The sequence below is a fragment of the Homo sapiens genome, chromosome 6 (genome assembly GCF_000001405.40).
Source record: "Homo sapiens chromosome 6, GRCh38.p14 Primary Assembly".
Classification (NCBI taxonomy): Eukaryota; Metazoa; Chordata; class Mammalia; order Primates; family Hominidae; genus Homo; species Homo sapiens.
This window is the reverse complement of record NC_000006.12, coordinates 10,464,889-10,482,631: the sequence shown is the minus strand read 5'-3', so window position 1 is coordinate 10,482,631 and position 17,743 is coordinate 10,464,889. Positions and strand designations below refer to the sequence as shown.

Genomic DNA, 17,743 nt, shown 5'->3' with positions numbered 1-17,743 from the left:
ACTCGGAGAACTTTTATGTCTAGCCGGAGGATTGTATATGTGCCAATCAGCACTCTGTCTACCTTGGGGTTCATGGGTGCACCAATCAGCACTCTGTATCTAGCTAATCTGGTGGAGATTTGGAGAACTTTTCTGTCTAGCTAAACGATTATAAATGCACTAATCAGCGCTCGGTGTCTAGCTCAAGTTTGTAAACACACCCATCAGCACCCTGTACCTAGCTCAAGGTTTGTAAATGCACCAATCAGCGCTCTGTGTTTAGCTCATCTAGTGGGAACTTGGAGAACTTTTGTGTCTAGCTAAAGGTTGTAAATGCACCAATCAGCACCCTGTGTCTAGCTCAAGGTTTGTAAGCGCACCAATCAGTGCTCTGTGTCTAGTTAATCTGGGGAGGACTTGGAGAACTTTTATGTCTAGCTAGAGGATTGCAAATACACCAATCAGCACTATGTGTCTAGCTCAGGGATTGTACATGCACCAAACAGCACCCTGTCAAAATGGACAAATCAGCTCTCTGTGAAACAGACCAATCAGCTCTCTGTAAAACAGACCAATCAGCTCTCTGTAAAACAGACCAATCAGCTTTCTGTAAAATGGACCTATCAGCAGGATGTGGGTGGGGCCAGATAAGAGTATAATAGCAGGCTGCGGGAGCCAGTACTGGTAACCAGCTGCAGTACTTTTTGTGTGGTGTGGAAGTGTTTGTTTTTTGCAATAGATTTTTGTTGCAGTTTAGGTTTGTATTTTCTTTGTTTTGTAGTGCTTATTATGAAGGTTCGTAGGTTTATGTCTGTAGGCCAGGCAGGTCATTAAACTTAACAAAGAATAAGTAAGTCGGGAGAGGGGAATAGAAATCTCCACATACATATTCTTAAAAGCTGTAACACTCACCACAAAGATCTGCTGAGTGAAGTCTGTGAGACGAACGCACCAAGTCTGGACGCTCTGTCAGGCTACATTTTACGTTTTTGGGAGTGAGCAGGTGTTATTCTGTTCCCCGGGTTGGTTTTGAAGTCATGGCTCTCAAGTAATTTTTGTGCTTCTCAAAAGTGCTGGAATTGCAAAGGTAAGCTACCTTTACCTTGTTATCCTCATCTTCTATTACTCCTTGTCATTTAGAGGGAAGGCACAGGTCCAGGGTTTCTTGGATTCTAAATTAAACTACTAGAAATGGGAGCTGAGCCTTGGGAAAGGAGGAGGCAGCAACTGCTGCCTATTTACATCCACATTCAACTTCACAAAGCAATTTCTGAAGCTTCTCTACTTCTCTGCTTCTCTGCTTTTCCACACCTCAGGGGAAAAAAAAAAGCAATAGTTACTCATCTCAAAAACATCCGTGTTATTCAGGAGGGGTTAAATTGTGCCCAGTCCACCCTGTTTTAGTGTAAAGGAGACAAGAGGAGAGAAAAAGCTTTAATTTCCTACAATTGCTAAGTAAACTGCCTGAATGGATTAGCTTATTCCTCATTCCATCAATTAGATTGGCATTATTGCTTCACTTTTACAGAATAGAGATGGAGGTTTCTAGTGCAGGGCGCCAAGCTAGTAAGGAATGAAGTCTGGGTGCAAACACAAATCTCCAAAGCTGATTCCAGCGTCCAAAAGAGAGGGTTGGTGGAAGTGGGGTCACTTATAAAAACTATAAAAAACTTTGGCTGGGCGTGGTGGCTCATGCCTGTAATCCCAGCACTTTGGGAGGCCGAGGTGGGCAGATCACGAGGTCAGGAGATGGAGACCGTTCTGGCTAATACGGTGAAACCTGTCTATACTAAAAATACAAAAAATTAGCTGGGCGTGGCAGCAGGCACCTGTAGTCCCAGCTACTGGGGAGGCTGAGGCAGGAGAATGGCGTGAACTTAGGAGGTGGAGCTTGCAGTGAGTCCAGATCGAGCCACTGCACTCCAGCCTGGGCGAGAGAGTGAGACTCCCTGTCTTAAAAAAAAAAAGTATAAAAATTTTTAAATGAAAAGTTTTCAAGTTTAGAGAGTCTTCAATCTGTAAAGTACACTTCTCAAAAGAAGACGTACATCGGGCCAAGAAACATGAAAGGAAGCTCAACATCACTATTGTTAAAGAAATGCAAATCAAAACCACAATGAGATACCATCTCCTCTCAGTCAGAGTGGCTATTGTTAAAAAGTCAAAAAACAACAGACGCTGGCGAGGTTGCAGAGAAAAAGAAATGCTTTGACACTGTTGGTGGGAGTGTAAATTAGTTCAACCACTGTGGAAGACGGTGTGGCAATTCCTCAAAGAGCTAGAGGCAGAAATACCATTTGACCCAGCAATCCCATTACTGGGTATATACCCAAAGGAATATGAATCATTCTATTATAAAGATACATATGCATGTGTGTTCATTACAGCACTATTCACAATAGCAAAGACATGGAATCAACCCAAATGATAGACTGATAGACCCATCAATAATAGACTGAAAAATATGGTGCATGTACACTATGGAATAGTATGCAGCCATAAAAAGGAATGAGATCATGTCCTCTGCAGGGACATGGATGGAGTTGGAAGCCATTATCCTCAGCAAACCAACACAGAAACAGAAAATCAAACACTGCGTGTTCTCACTTTTAAGTGGGAGCTGATTGATGAGAACACATGGACACATGGGGGAAAGTAACACACAATGGGCACCTATCGGGTGTAGGGGGAGGGGGAACATCAGGAAGAATGGTTAATGGATGCTGGGCTTAATACCTAGGTGATGGGATGATCTGTGTAGCAAACCACCATGGCATTCGTCTACCTAGGTAACCTGCACCTCCTACACGTGTACCCTTGAACTTAAAAATTGAAGAAAAAAATTTATAAAGTGCATTTTTGTACTACAGGTTAAGTATCCCTTATCTGAAATGGTTGGAACCAAAAGTGTTTTGAATTTCAGATTTTTTCAAATTTTTAAATATTTGCAAATACATAGTAAGATATCATGGGGAATGGGACCCAATTCTAAACACAAAAATTGGTCTTAGCTTTTCATATGTACCTTATACACATAGCCTGAGGGTAATTTTATATAACATTTTAAATCTGTGATGAAACAGTTTGTATTAGGGTTCTCACATGTGGAATATTCTACTTGTGGCATCGTGTTGGTGCTCAAAAAGTTCAGATTTTGGAGCATTTTGGATTTCAGATTTTTGTTGTTGTTGAGACGGAATCTCGCTCTGTCGCCCAGGCTGGAGTGCAGTGGCCAGATGATCTTGGCTCACTGCAACCTCCACCTCCCAGGTTCAAGAGATTCTCCTGCCTCAGCCTCCTGAGTAGCTGGGACTACAGGCACACACCACCACAGCCGGCTAATTTTTTTATTTTTAGTAGAGGCAGGGTTTCACCATGTCGGCCAGGCTGGTCTCGAACTCCTGGCCTCAGGTGATCTACCCGCCTCAGCCTCCCAAAGTGCTGGGATCACAGGCGTGAGCCACCGCACCTGGCCCTACTAAATTTTCAAAGACTTTTTCCACTTAGCTCTCTTTTCCTCTTCTGTTTTTTTCCCCCTTCACCTTCCATAATTAAACTCTCAGGGTCCAACAGAAGTCTGATTGCACTGTTTATTTTTACCTCCTTTTTTGTGCTTTCTCCTAAAGCAGGAGTCAGCCTTTTTCTGTGAAGGGCTAGATAGCAATTTTTTTTAAGCTTTATTTTCCATTTTTTAACTTTAAGTTCCGGGGTACATGTACAGAACGTGCAGGTTTGCTACATAGGTATATGTGCGCCATGGTGTTTTGCTGCAACTATCGACCCGCCATCTAGGTTTTAAGCCCCACATGCATTAGCTATTTGTCCTGAGCATCTCTTTTTTTTTTCTTGAAGGAAGGTTGCACATCAGACAGTGTTAGTAAAAATTCAACTCCAAATGTTTTGGGACTCAGTGACTGTGGTCTTTCCTCATGAGTTTGTCACAACCAGATATGGACCCACAGGGGTCAGGGAGGTAATTTTTTAAAAAGATCAACAAAGAGACAGCAATAATATGGCACCATCTGCAGGTTAACTTGTGAATTACAATGATTTGTGTTGCATGTAATGTACTAGCTCTTCATTTAACTTTCCTGCTGGGCGGTCATTTCAGATCAACATCAAAAGCTACAAACTGGAAACAGAGGAAGATACTAGCCCCGTGTTTCTGATTCAGTATCACTGAAATACTTTGGAACCATATAAAGGGCAAAGTACATTCCACATGTTGAAGGACAGTGCCTGGCCCTGTGGGGTGTCATCCCCAAGCTGTAGGCATAGTGGCAACCCAGGGGTTCATCTCAACTCCCATCAGGTCAGTAGCTTTTTGGGTGATGAAGTGTATGGTCGGGATCAGCAGGTCCCCTGGTTATGCGCCCCCTGCCTCACCTCATTCTCTTTAGAATGTCCTAGGCACTGTTACTCTGGATCCCATGTCAGTAAATCGGGTACTCAGTGACCCTTAGGAAAGGCTACTATGTAGTGGATCATTGTGATGTTCTGCACAAGGTCCCCAGAGTTTAAATCTCTTTATTGTATCATGACAGAGACATGAGAGTTAACTTAGCCCTGGGACAAAATTGTGAATGTGCATTGTGAACTGCAAAATAATAAGAATGAATGAAAATGTAAACTGGTTTGGATCATATTTCCTGATGGGGATAGAAAAGAACACAATCAAAATCAAATGCAAAATCAACGGCTGCATACCATGTACTTGAGCCTGCACACATCTCTTCCAGCCAGCGTGCCGTATCTGGCCCAATTTGGGTCTGCTACTTGGTTGAGTTGCATAATCTACTATCCCAAGACAAACCAGGATTCCTCATGATCCAGACTGGTTAATGAAATGGATGGCTTGGCACAGTGGCTCATGCCTGTAATCCTAGCACTTTGGGAGGCCAAGGCAGTTGGATCACCTGAGGTCAGGAGTTCGAGACCAGCCTGGCCAACAGGGTGAAACTGTCTCTACTACAAAAATACAAAAATTAGCTAGGCATGGTGGTGCACGCCTGTAGCCTCAGCTACTTGGGAGGCTGAGGGATGAGAATCGCTTGAACCTGGGAGGTGGAGGTTGCTGTGAGCCGAGATCATGCCACTGCACTCTACCCTGGGTGACAGAGCGAAACTCTGACTCAAAACAAATAAATGTAGATGTTACAAGGAGCACCAATCCACCATGTTTTCGATTCTTACGGGTAGCACCAATTTTGGCCATCTCCCTCCGTCTCCCTGTGTGCATCTCATAATGCCCTCTTCTCCATCCTCCCATTGTCCCCTCCTCCCCCCAGATGAAGTACACACAATATATCTCTTTTGTTTGCTATCTTGGCAGAGTGGATAGGGTCAATTTCAGAAATTTCTACTTGGCTTTCCCCATGGAATGCCCTCACCCCACAGGCCAAAGACCCAATGGGGAGGCTATGCCAACTTCTGAGAATATTTACCCCAGTTATACATTTGTGGACTGAGGCCATGACTGCCGGTGGGCCTGTAGTCTTACTGAATCCACTGTGAGCCACCATGCCATGGACAGGACTCCATGGATCACCTGGTCACCATGTGCCCCACAGAAGCAGAGTGCGGGCAGCTGCAATGCTGTGGCAGGTCTCAGGGTATCAATGTCACTTCTGACCCTGTTCTAACAGTCCTCCAAAATACTTCAAATACTTGAGTATTTCCCCTTCCCTGGTGAACAGTTCTGTGAGATCTTAGGTCCCCTTGCAGAAGGACTCAGGAAATCATGACTGTGCCCATTTGCCAGGGTGTTACAGGGTCTTTCTGTTAGATACCTGGCCCTCCTCCCAGTCAAGGGCTTCAGGGTTTGAAATCTGGCGCATATTCAGAAACTGGGCAGGTGGTCCTGACTTTTGTAGGAGCACCCATCCTTAGTCTGCTCATTATCCATCCTGGATTTCTTCCTATGACACAGGTTGAGAAGCACCCCTGTCTGCCTGTGTATTTTGCTGCTAGGGATGTGGTCCTCTATGAACTATCTCCATAGCTCTCTGTGGTCCAGGCTCCCTCAGCTGCTTTTCTGAGCTTTTCCCTGATTGCGGTCATGGCTTCCACCTGGCTTCTGAGGATTATGTGCCACCACGTAGTTCTCCTATTTTAGGGTCTTGTCATCCCACTTGCTATCAGTAAGCCCAGCTCTGTTGAACCCTTCCAACTGTCTGCCCAGGCTGGCAGAGTAGAGCCACCACTGAGCTTCCGAGTGATGTGGGTGCTTTACGTCTTGGTGGAGGATGTTTTCTCTGAGCCTTCCTGTGGAGCATAAATATCTGGTAAGTGATCTGGTCTTGGATGGCACTTCACTGATCATACACACCTCCCTGAGTCTTACAATCCCTTAATCCACTGTCTGACTTGGCACTTCTGACATTTTAACATTACCTAGCATGGGCATCCTCTTTTTCCATGGTCCGAAAGCCATCTGTACTAGCGTCTGTGGCTGCCGTAACAAATGACCACAAACTGGATGGTGTAAAAACAACAGAAACTGTTCTCTGACAGTCCTAGAGGTCAAGGTGTCATCAGGGCCACACTCCCACCAGGGCTTTAGGGGGAGAATCGGTTCCTTGCCTTTTCCAGCTTCTGGTGGTTTCCAGCATTCCTTGGCTTGTGGCCATATCACTTCAGTCTCTGCCTCTGCCTTCACATGGTCTTCCCCCTGTTCTCCATTATCTATCTATGTGTCTCCTATAAAAACACTTGTCACTGGATTTAGGGCCCACCCATATAATCCAGGATGATCTCATCTCAAGATCCTTAATTCTGAAAAGACCATTTTCCCAAATAAGGTCACCTTCACAGGTTTTAGGGATTAGGATGTGGACATTTCTTTTGGGTTTGCAGGGGGTGGGGTGGAGGGCACCAAACTCACTATGTCATCTTAGTTCCAAATGTACACCATCTCCTGGGGTCTTTACTCGGGGGTTAAATCCTATATCTTTGGCCAGGGCTCTCCAGTCAGTAGACTCTCCCCCATCCACATTTATGTTCTGGCCCCCTTGACCAAGTACCCCAAGAATCCAGTCTTATTCATACCCCCTGACACTTTTGGTACCTGTTAGCTGGGTCATCAGCTCTCTTTGAGTTTAAGCCCTTTCTTCCCTTATAAGGCCCAGTGCAACCTCAGCTGGGTGATGCTGGAATTTAAACCTATACTAGTATCCGGGAAAGAAGCTGGGGCTCATCCTGGGTGGAGGGCACAAGTGTCTTGAAGGGAAGAGGCCTCTGCATTGTCTTCAAGCAATGGGGCCGGGGGTGGGCTGGCTCTTGCTATGGAGGGATAGCCCACATTTGTGGGGTTGGAGGGTCTAGAGGAAACTAGAATTTCAAGGGGTAGGGCATCAACACAGATGTTTGCATCCTGTATTTCACAGTCCTGTTCTTCCCCAATCAGGGCCCTGAACTTGACACAGCAGATCTGGCATGGTTGGGAGTGTCACCTTCTTTGGTCTCAGATGATTAATTCTTAGCCCTGGTCCTCAGCTTTCTCTGGCCTCCCAATGCAAAAGAGAGTTTCTCTGTACACTTCCAAAGAGGTTCTCTGGCATTCATACTCAGATTTCAATTGCTTGGTAATTGCTTTCAACCTTTTGTTATCTTTTTCTAGAGTAAAAGGAGCTTAACTATATGGCCGTTCTCCAGGTTGCTGCTCTAAGCAACAGGGGCTGATTCCACCAGCACCTCTAAGAAGTGTACAGAATTCCTCCCAGCATTTGGGAGCTGGGGCACTTGTCATTGGCTCTCATCCTCTATCATGGGAAGATTGCCACCAGATGCATTAATTCCATGCATCTGGTGCACCATGGTGCACTTCGGAGGCTCGCATGATTTGGAGAAGGCAGAAAAGCAGAGTTGTAGAGCATAGGCTTGAGGCAAGCAGGCAGCTGAGCTCTCATGGAACTGTCTACCATAGCAGCAGCTGAAATTAGAGGCAAGCCCAGGGGCAGGAGGCAGTGTACCAGAATCTGCTGCTACTGCATGCACATTTCCAACTATTTTATCAATGTCAAATTTTAAACTTTTTATATCCACTTGTGTTCCTTTCCAGAGTTCAAACATTGAATTAGTTGTGCAATGGAAGGAGTATTACCAGGACCCAGATGCAGCCCAAGGAAAAAAGAAAACAAAAGGAGACACACACAGTAAGTGGTGTCTCATTGTGATTTGGATTTGCATTTCCCTAGTGATTAGTGATGGGAAACATATTTTCATGTGTTATTGGTCATTTGTTTATCTTCTTTGGAGAAATATTTATTCAAGTCCTCTGCTCTCTTTTTTTTTTTTTTTTTTAGTCAGAGTCTCGCTGTATTAGTCTGCTCTCACACTGCTCATAAAGACATACCTGAAGCTGGGTAATTCATAAAAGAAAGGTTTAATTGACTCACAGTTCCACATTGCTAGGGAGGCAAAGGAGGAGCAAAGTCACATCTTAAATGGCAGCAGGCAAGAAAGTGTGTGCAGGGGAACTTCCCTTTATAAAACCATCACATCTTGTGAGATATCCACTATCACAAGAACAGCACAGGAAAGACCTGCCTCTATGATTAAGTTACCTCCCACTGGTTCCCTCATGACACATGGGAATTATGGGAACTACAATTTAAGATGAGATTTGGGTAGGGACACAGCCAAGCTATATCACTTGCTGTGTTGCCTACGCTGGTCTCCAACTCCTGGGCTCAAGTGATCCTCCCACATTGGCCTCCCAGTAGCTGGGACTACAAGCTTGAGCCACTGCACCTCCTTTGCACATTTTTAAATCAGATAGTTTTGTTTTTGTTGTTGTTGAGTTGTAGGAGCTATTTATGTATTCTGGATATTAACACCTTATCAGATGTATGATTTGCAAACATTTTTTCCCCATTCCATTGGTTGCCTTTTCACTCTGTTGATTGTGTCCTTTGATGCCGAGAAGTTTCTAAGTTTAATGTAGTATAATTTATCTATTTTATGGCTGGGCCTGGTGGCTCACACCCGTAATCCCAGCACTTTGGGAGGTTGAGGTGGGTGGATTGCTTGAGCCTAAGAGTTTGAGACCAGCCTGGGCAACATGGCAAAACCTTGCCTCTACTAAAACACAGAAAAATTAGCCAGGTGTGGTGGCATGCATCTGTGATCCCAGTTATTCGACAAGCTGAGATGAGAGGATTGCTTAAGCCTGGCAGGTTAAGGCTGCAGTGAGCCATAATTATGGCAATGCACTCCAGTCTGGGTGACAGAGCAAGACCCTGTCTCAAACAAACAAAACATTTATCTATTTTATTTTTGTGGCTTGTGCTCTTGGTAACACAACCAAGAAATCATTGTCAAATCCAATGTCATTGTAAAGCTTTCCCTCTATGTTTTCTTCTAGAAATTTTATAGTTTAGGCCTTACATTTAGGTCTTTGATCTATTTTATGTTAATTGTTACAAACGGTGTAAGGTAAGGGTCCCACTTTCTTCTTCTGCATGTGGACATTCATGTTTTCCCAATATTATTTGTTGAAAAGACCCCTTTCTCCATTGAATGGTCTCAACACCCATGTAAAAAGTCATTCAATCATATAGGCAAGGGTTTACTTCTGGGCTTTCTCTTCTATTCCATTGGTCTATGTGTCTGTTTTTATGCCAGTACCACACTGTTTTGATTATTGTTACCATATATGACTGTCTAAAAAATTTTATGTATGTATAAAAATTTTTATGTATACATAAAATTTATACATACATAAAATTTTTTTTGAGACAGTCTTGCTCTGTTGCCCAGGCTGGAGTGCAGTGGCACAATCTAGGCTCAGCTCACTGCAACCTGCGCTTCCTGGCAAGCGATTCTCGTCTTGTAATATATTTTGAAATCAGGAAGTGTGATGCCTCCAGCTTTGTCCTTCTTTCTCAAGCTTATTTTGGCTATCCAGGGTCCCTTGAGAGTCCACATAAATTTTAGGATAAATTTTTAATTGGATTTTTTAATAGGGATTACATTGTTTGCTTAATGTAATCATAATGCATATGATTTTCTTATGCCCCCAACAAATATGAAATCATAGTCATAATCATTTGCTAAATGATTACATTAAGATTGTTTTGGGTAGTGTTGACATTTTAACAAAACTAAGTCTTCCAATCATGAGCACAGATGTCATTCCATTTATTTGTGTCTTCTTTAAGTGCTTTCAGCAATGTTTTAAAGTTTTAGCGTACAGTCTTTTGTCTTCTTGGTTAAGTTTATTTCCAAGTATTTTATTCTTTTTGATACTATTGTAAATGAAATTGCTTTTGTAATTCCCTGCAGCCTCTTTCATGCTCTGAGCAGAACTGCATTGCATACAATCAATCACCTACACTCACAGGCAAGAATGTACTACTATTGTAATAATGTAAATTTTTCTAAAATCACAAAATGGAAAATGCATCTTATTTGCTTTTAACGTTTTAGCAGATGATGTGGTCAAGTAAATAAATAAAAGGAGAGAAAGAGAAGTTCTGTGTGTGTGTGTGTGTGTGTGTGTGTGTGTGTGTGTGTGTGTCTGTCTGTCTAAGATCCTTTTGTTGTTTGCTTTGGCCTAGTTTCTTATGCTTTGAGGAAAAGCTCATTCTCATTCATGTGACTTGCTTTGGCTAATAGGACACCAGAGCATGATGCAAGTGTGGCTTAATCGGTGCTTGCACATTGGGCTTGTTCTTTCCAAACCTGTTGCCCCGATTCTGCAAGGCTATCCTGCTGTAGAAGGAGGCCCTGGAGGACAAGACACCATGTGGGGAAAACAGCCATGGGGAGCAGAACCGAGGTATCCCAGCTTAGCTCCCAACTGACAGCAGCCACATGAGTGAGCAGAAAAACAACTTCCAAGGGTGATTTAGCTACTGCTGCTGTGGAATGTCAAAACTTTCAGCAAGGGAGCCCGATGCAGATCTGTTGATATGACACCATTCCACAAGAAGACCAACTGATGGCTTTGTGGCAAGTTGACTACACTGGGCTGTTTCTATTCTGGGAAGACAGAGATTTGTTCTAAGAGGAATAGGCATGTGTTGCAGGCATAGGTTGACCTTTCCTGCCATGGAGCCTCCTCTGGTACCACTATTTGAAGGTTGAAGGAATGTTGATTCACCAGGATTGAGTCAGACCAGCCAAGCCTATGACCATGATGTCAACTGACTGTATCACCTGTCACATCATCCAGAAGCTACAGACTTATAAGGCATTGGAATAACTTGTAGATGGCCCCGTTAAAGTACCAGCTTAGAGGCAACACTCCATGAGAATGAGACATCATCTCCAGGATGGCACATACACATTGAATCACACAGCATTGATAAGGAGATGGCTCCCCAGTAGGAAGAATATATTGGTCATGAACCAAGGGATGAAGCAGAAGTGTCTTGCTTCCTGTCCCTGCAGCCTCTCTTTCTGCAGTGCTAGAAATCCTGGTCAAAAGGGGGCATAATTTTATCAGGGGACACAGCAAAAGTCTCCACTACATTGCAGCTATGCCTGCTGCCTGGGGATTTTGGGCTTCTTATAATTGGGACCAGCAATAAAAGAGAAGAGTCACAGTCTTGGCAGGGCTAATTGACCCTGATCAGCAGGAGAAGAAAGGCTGTGGTTCCACTATGAGGGTAGGGAAGACGTGTGGCACCACTGATCCACTTTTGCAACCCATGGTACTCCCGTGGCCAGTTGTGATGACAGACAAGTGCAGGAACACTTTTGGGAAGGGCATGGTGGCCAGAGTTCAGACCCCATGGGAATGAGGACCAGGGTCACACCACTGGATAAGCCAGGAGGTAAGCTGCAGAGGTGAGGGGGAATCTAGACTGGGGATTAGGGGAGGAAAATGAAAAGTATCAGTCATTGCCCTGAGACCAGCTGCAGCAGCAGGTGTTGTAGCTTGTGCTTCTAAGCCATCTACTTTTACATTTCCTCCAGGAAGAGAGGCCCACTGGAAGGCTGGAGGAGCTGCTCCCCAGATGTAGATGAAGTAGATTTGAGCAGCACAGTGGTGGACCTAGTAGAGGCGGACATCAAGATCCTCTTCAAGGAAAGATTATCAATATAGTTTTCCCTGACCCAGGTGCCATGTGTTTTCTGTCATATTCACGTATGCTAATACATAATTGTGCAAGTGGGGTAATATCTGGGACACTTCATGGTTCATATCAAAACACAGAGTGAAGAGAACATCCTCTGGGCCATCTCAGAGTGTGAGTTTGGGGCGGGGGTGGCTCCTGGTTAACATTTCTGTCCACTGCAGCATTCCTTTTCCCTTTTGCTTTTAGATTCTTCCCTTGACATCACACCAGGAAAGTCTGACAACTTAACTTTATTGGATATAGGCAACCGTTGAATCCAAGTTTTGCCCACTGAATCCATCAAATTGTTACAGCCAATTCTAGATGCCTGAGTGGACACATGAAATCCAGATTCCCCAGTAAGCGCATCCCCATTAATAAACTGACCAAATGCAATGTTAATCTGTTCTATAACCTTTAGAATCCATCCCAACATATATTTTTTAGGTTCCTGCCAAGATATGTTAGCAAAAGCTTGCAATTTTTTGAAAAATGAATTATCTCTTCCTGGGACATGTGTTGTACTTTTCTCTCTGAAATAGGCTGAGCTCTGACTCCATTAAAAGTCTGAAAGCAATGAAGAGTGAAGGAGCGGATATTGGGGAGAATAGGCATCCTCTTGCAAGATAACTGCCTCAAAGTCATTATAAGGTTTTCAAGCAAGAGAAAGCTAATTTCCTTACACATATGAAGAAGCGTTGCTTCTCCTGGCAAGAAATACACAGTGAATCAGGGATTCAAAATTCTTAGCTTTATCTAAGTTTACCCAGATGTGTCTATCCTTCCCAATCAGTGCTCTTGGCAGGAGACTTGGCAAGTCTGCGAAGTCAACTTATGTTATAATTCTGCAACCCACACAAGTTCTTATTTTCAATGAGGGTAACCTTGCAGCCACACAAAATAGCAAAATTTTTTAAGGAGTACCATAGACACACTCTGGTTCTCTGTGTTCAGTGTTTTAAGCCTATCTTTTTGTTCCCCTGTAAGCTCTTCAATGTAGTCCAAAATACACCATCTGTGGTAGGCAGAATTCTAAGAAGGTTCCAAAGATTCTCACCCATGGTGTAGAGAACTTGTATAATTTTCTCCCCTAAAGTGTAGGTGGAGCCCGTGAATAGGATGGGATATTAATACCATGATTGTGTTATATTTTGAGACAAAAAAAATTTTGTAGATGTAATTAAAGGTACTAATCAGTTGACTATGAGTTTATCAAAAGGGAGATCATCCAGGTGGGCCTGACCTAATCATATCAGCCCTCTAAATCCTGGTCTATGGGTCAGAGAAAGAGGAAGGCAGAGATTTAAAGCATGAGAGAAATTCAAAGCAAACTAGATTCTCCATTGCTGTCTTTGAAGACAGGCAGCCATGTGGCAAGGAATGTGGGTAGCCGATAGTGGCCGATGACAGCTCCCAGCCCACACTTCAAGTTTAGCCTCGTAGGGCCCTGAGCAGGGGACACAACTATACTGCATTTACAACCTACAGAACTGTGAACTGATAAATGGGTGTTTTGTTTGTTTTGAGATGGAGTCTCAGGCGCCCAGGCTGGAGTGCAGTGGTACAATTTTGGCTCAGTGCAACCTCCACCTCCTGGGTTCAAACGATTCTCCTGTCTCAGCCTCCCAAGTAGCTGGGATTACAGGTGCCCGCCACCATGCCCTGCTAATTTTTGTATTTTTAGTAGAGACAGGGTTTCACCATGTTTGCCAGACTGGTCTTGAACTTCTGATCTCAAGCGCTCCACCTGTCTCGGCCTCCCAAAGTGCTGGGATTGCAGGCGTGAGCCACCGTGCCCAATGTGGGTGTTGTTTTAAGCTGCCAAGTGTGTGGTACTTCATTATCTAGCAAAGAAAAACTAATACAACAGTCCACAGCCCTGGTAGTAATCATTACTAACGAAGTGGTCAAGTGCAGCAGCTAACTGGTCTCCTAATAGTTGCTTTATTAGGCATTTCATCACAATCACTAGAGGTGATACTGCAATTAATCATAATGCTATGGCATGACATGCATTACTGTCCCATTTGCAAGGAGCTCAGCACTCTTTTTAAGGCAAGTGGCATTTCCAAGCTAATCCCAGAATCTCTTTTTTTTTTTATAAAGATGGGGTTTTGCTATATTGCCCAGGATGGAGGCTCTTTGCAGGCACGATTATAGTGCACTTCAGCCTTGTATTAGTCTATTCTCACATTGCTAGAAGGAAATACCTGAGATTAGGTAATATATATATGTATATATATATATATAGAGAGAGAGAGAGAGAGAGAGAGAGGGGTTTAATTGGCTCACGGTTCCACAGGCTGTACAGGAAGCATGATTCTGGCATCTGCTTGGCCTCTGGGGAGGCCTCAGGAAACTTACAATCATGGCGGAGGGCAGCAGGGTTGCCAACACTTCACATGGCTGGGAGCAAGAGGAAGAGGTGGTGGGGAGGTGCCGTGCATTTTTAAACAACCAGATATCACTCACCTTCCAATACCAAGGGGCAGTGGTGTTAAACCATGAGAAACTGTCCCCATGAAGAAATCATCTACCACCAGGCCCCACCTCGAACACTGGAGATTACAATTTAACATGAGATTTGGGTGAGGACACAGATCCAAACCATATCAAGACTCAAACTCCTGGCTTCAAGCAATACTTCTGTGTCAGCTTCCTGAGTAGTTAGGACTACAGGCACATGTCACTCTGCGTTACAGTATTTTTTTTTTTTTTTGGAGACAGAGTCTCACTCTGTGGCCCAGGCTGGAGTGCAGTGGCACGATCATGGCTCACTGCAACCTCCACCTCCAGGGTTCAAGCGATTCTCATGCCTCAGCCTCTTGAGTAGCTGGGTCTGCAGGTGTGCACCACCACATCCGGCTAATTTTTGTGTTTTTAGTAGAGACAGTGTTTCTCCATGTTGGCCAAGCTGGTCTCGAACTCTGATCTCAAGCCATCCACCTGCCTCAGCCTCCCAAAGTGCTGGGATTATAGACTCTCATTTTTGATAGTCTTGTTTCCTAGAACCTCTCCCGGTAACAAGCACTGTGTCAGGGTTGAATCAGGAAAGAAGAAACCACATAATGTTATTTCAATGGAGGGAATTCACTAAAGGTAATTGGTAACACGTGTTGAAGAGCGGAACAAACAAACATCAAACAAAATGAAATAAAGCACCATGCTAATATAAAATAACTTCTTCCCTTAAGGGTTAGAAGTTATTCTAAGGGTTAGAATAACTCTTCCCTTAAAGAGAAGAGTCTGGAGTTATTGGAACTGAGAGACTTGGTGGAGGAGGCAATCACGGGTTGAGGAGTAGTCTCCAAAAATTGACATCTACCTGGAACCTTTGAAAGTGACCTTACTTGGAAATAGGGTCTTCGCAGATGTAATCAGGTTAAGATGTTCTACTAGGCCAGGCGCGGTGGCTCACGCTTCTAATCCCAGCACTTTAGGAGGCCGAGGTGGGTGGATCACGAGGTCAAGAGATAGAGACCATCCTGGCCAACATGGTGAAACCCCGTCTCTACTAAAAATACAAAAATTAGCCAGGCCTGGCGGGCGCCTGTAGTCTCCTGTAGTCCCAGCTACTCCGGAGGCTGAGGCAGGAGAATCACTTGAACGCGGGAGGCGGAGCTTGCAGTGAGCCGAGATCGCACCAGGGCACTCCAGCCTAACGACAGAGTGAGACACCGTCTCAAAAAAAAAAAAAAAAAAAAGATGTTCTATTAGATTAGAGTGTGCCCTAAATCCAGTGACTTGTGTTCTTATCAGAAGGCCATGGAAAGACACAGAAGACACAAGGGGAAGGACATGGTGCGAAGACAGAGGCAGAGAGCTTGGAGTATTGCAGCTACAGGCCAAGGAACGCCAGAGATTGCTGGCAACCACAGAAGCCAGGAGAGGCGAGGAAGGATTCTTCCCTGGACCCTTCACAGGGAGCACGGCCCTGCTAACATGTTGATTTCTGACTTCTGGCCTCCAGAGCTGTGAGCGAATACATTTCTATTGTTTTAAATGACACCATCTCTGATCATTGGTTACGGCGGCCCCTAGGAAGCTAATACATGGCCCTATGAAGCTGGGGCTCAGACCTCCGAGAAGGGCACACGGCTGCTGCTGATCTGTTTAGGGGGAGCAATGACGTTAGCGCTGAGGGGAAACGGAGGCTGGAACCAGCTGCTGCTGAGGGGGAAGCGCCATTGCAGGGACAGCGCTCAAACCAGAAAAAGGCAGTCCTGCCCTCCTCCTCCTGCCTTCAAATCTCCGCCAGAATAGAACCCAAGCCAGCCGGCAAGGCAGAAGCGCAGCTGTGGAGCTCCCAGGTGCAATGTCGCAGAGCAAAGGGAGTGTGCGCTGGGGGCCGAGAAGCAGCAGTAAGGTGTGGTGCGAGGTGCCTTTGTGTTTGTGGGGATGAGGAGTTGGGTTGTGGGATGTGGAAGAAGAGTTTGCTTGCAGAGATACTAGTTTAAAAAGAAAAGAGTTTGCTGGACTACTGAGCAGGGCTGATTCGACTCCACAAATATTCTGCCTCCGAGGCTAGAGAAAAGGGGGCTCAGGAACCCCAGGGAGAAAAGTTGATGCTGCAAAATGATCTAAGAACAAAGGTGCAAAAACATTTAAATGTGTACTTCCGAAAGACAAGTAATAATTAGAAGAACACCACTACATTAAAAACATTTATAACAGAAGTATTGGCTGCAATATTTGAGTATTACATCTTTTTTCCTTGGGTTTGTCTGTAGCTTGAGCTCTGCAAGGATGATTTCCACCAGGTGGAGCCGTGGAGCAGGCGACCTCAGTGCCTGTGGCTCTCTTCCACCCTTAAATCGCCCCTCCCCCACCCCACCTCCAGACCCCTCAGCCCCCTCAAGCAGCTCCTGCTCCCTCCTCCCCTCATTCAGACCTCTGCTCAGATTTGTCTCTGTGGACGGCACCTCTTCTGACCTTTTCCTTGGCCCACCTGATAACCTGGTTTTCAATCCTGGTTGATTAATTGAATAACATAAACCATTGCAAGTGCAAAAATCGCAGCTACTATTTTTTTAATCAACTACTATGTGCCAGAGCTACTATGTTCCATTGTCACAAGTCTATTTTTTAATTTTATTCATTTTATTTTATTTTATTTTTGAGGCAGAGTCTCATTTTCTTCCAGGCTGGAGTGCAGTGGCATGATCTCAGCTCACTGCAACCTCCACCTCCCAGGTTCAAGCAAGTTTTCTGCCTCAGCCTCCCGAGTAGCTGGGATTACAGGCACGTGCCACTACACCTGGCTAAATTTGTATTTTTAGTAGAGACCAGGGTTTTGCCATGTTGGCCAGGCTGGTCTCGAACTCCTGACCTCAGGTGATCCTCCCACCTCAGCCTCCCAAAGTGCTGGGATTATAGGCATGAGCCACCGTGCATGTTATCAGCTGACAGTGACAGCTGACAGGAGGATGGGTGTTTACAGGCTTGGGGAGGAATAAGTGATGAAATAATTTTCTAGGAAACAGGGAGAATGAACAAGGCCCACATAGGTGAGTGACCACAAATTTAAAACATTCTGCAGGGTTGGATGCTTTTCTATAGGGACAAGCGTGGAACAGGCAGAGTTGGATTTCATCAGGGTTGTGGTGGAGCCGCCTGAAGTGACGGAGAAGAGAGGGCAAGAGAGCTCAGGGTTCAAGCAAGAAGTCATGATAATAACTGACCACAGAGTTTAGCTGAAT

General features: G+C 44.7%; 1 long non-coding RNA gene across 7 annotated transcripts, besides 1 other annotated feature; it reads left to right on the top strand.

Moving 5' to 3' along the window:
- The first annotated feature begins 665 nt into the window (after window positions 1-665).
- Window positions 666-16,720, top strand: LINC02522 (long intergenic non-protein coding RNA 2522). Of its 7 annotated transcripts, NR_183332.1 has the most exons (6): window positions 666-1,066; window positions 4,091-4,291; window positions 8,039-8,132; window positions 10,597-11,759; window positions 11,902-12,403; window positions 15,804-16,720. It is a non-coding gene; the product is annotated as a long intergenic non-protein coding RNA 2522 (long non-coding RNA). The 7 variants fall into 7 exon arrangements; NR_183334.1 differs by lacking the exon at window positions 4,091-4,291 and having other exon boundaries at window positions 12,252-12,403; window positions 15,804-16,717; NR_183336.1 differs by lacking the exon at window positions 15,804-16,720 and having other exon boundaries at window positions 11,902-12,446.
- Window positions 15,787-16,293: an enhancer, noted in NCBI's record as "H3K4me1 hESC enhancer chr6:10466572-10467078 (GRCh37/hg19 assembly coordinates)". NCBI's record gives its function as "activates a minimal SCP1, AML or CMV promoter by ChIP-STARR-seq in primed H9 embryonic stem cells {active_cell/tissue: H9 hESC(primed)}" and the evidence as "EXISTENCE:reporter gene assay evidence [ECO:0000049][PMID:30033119]".
- Window positions 16,721-17,743: the final 1,023 nt, after the last annotated feature.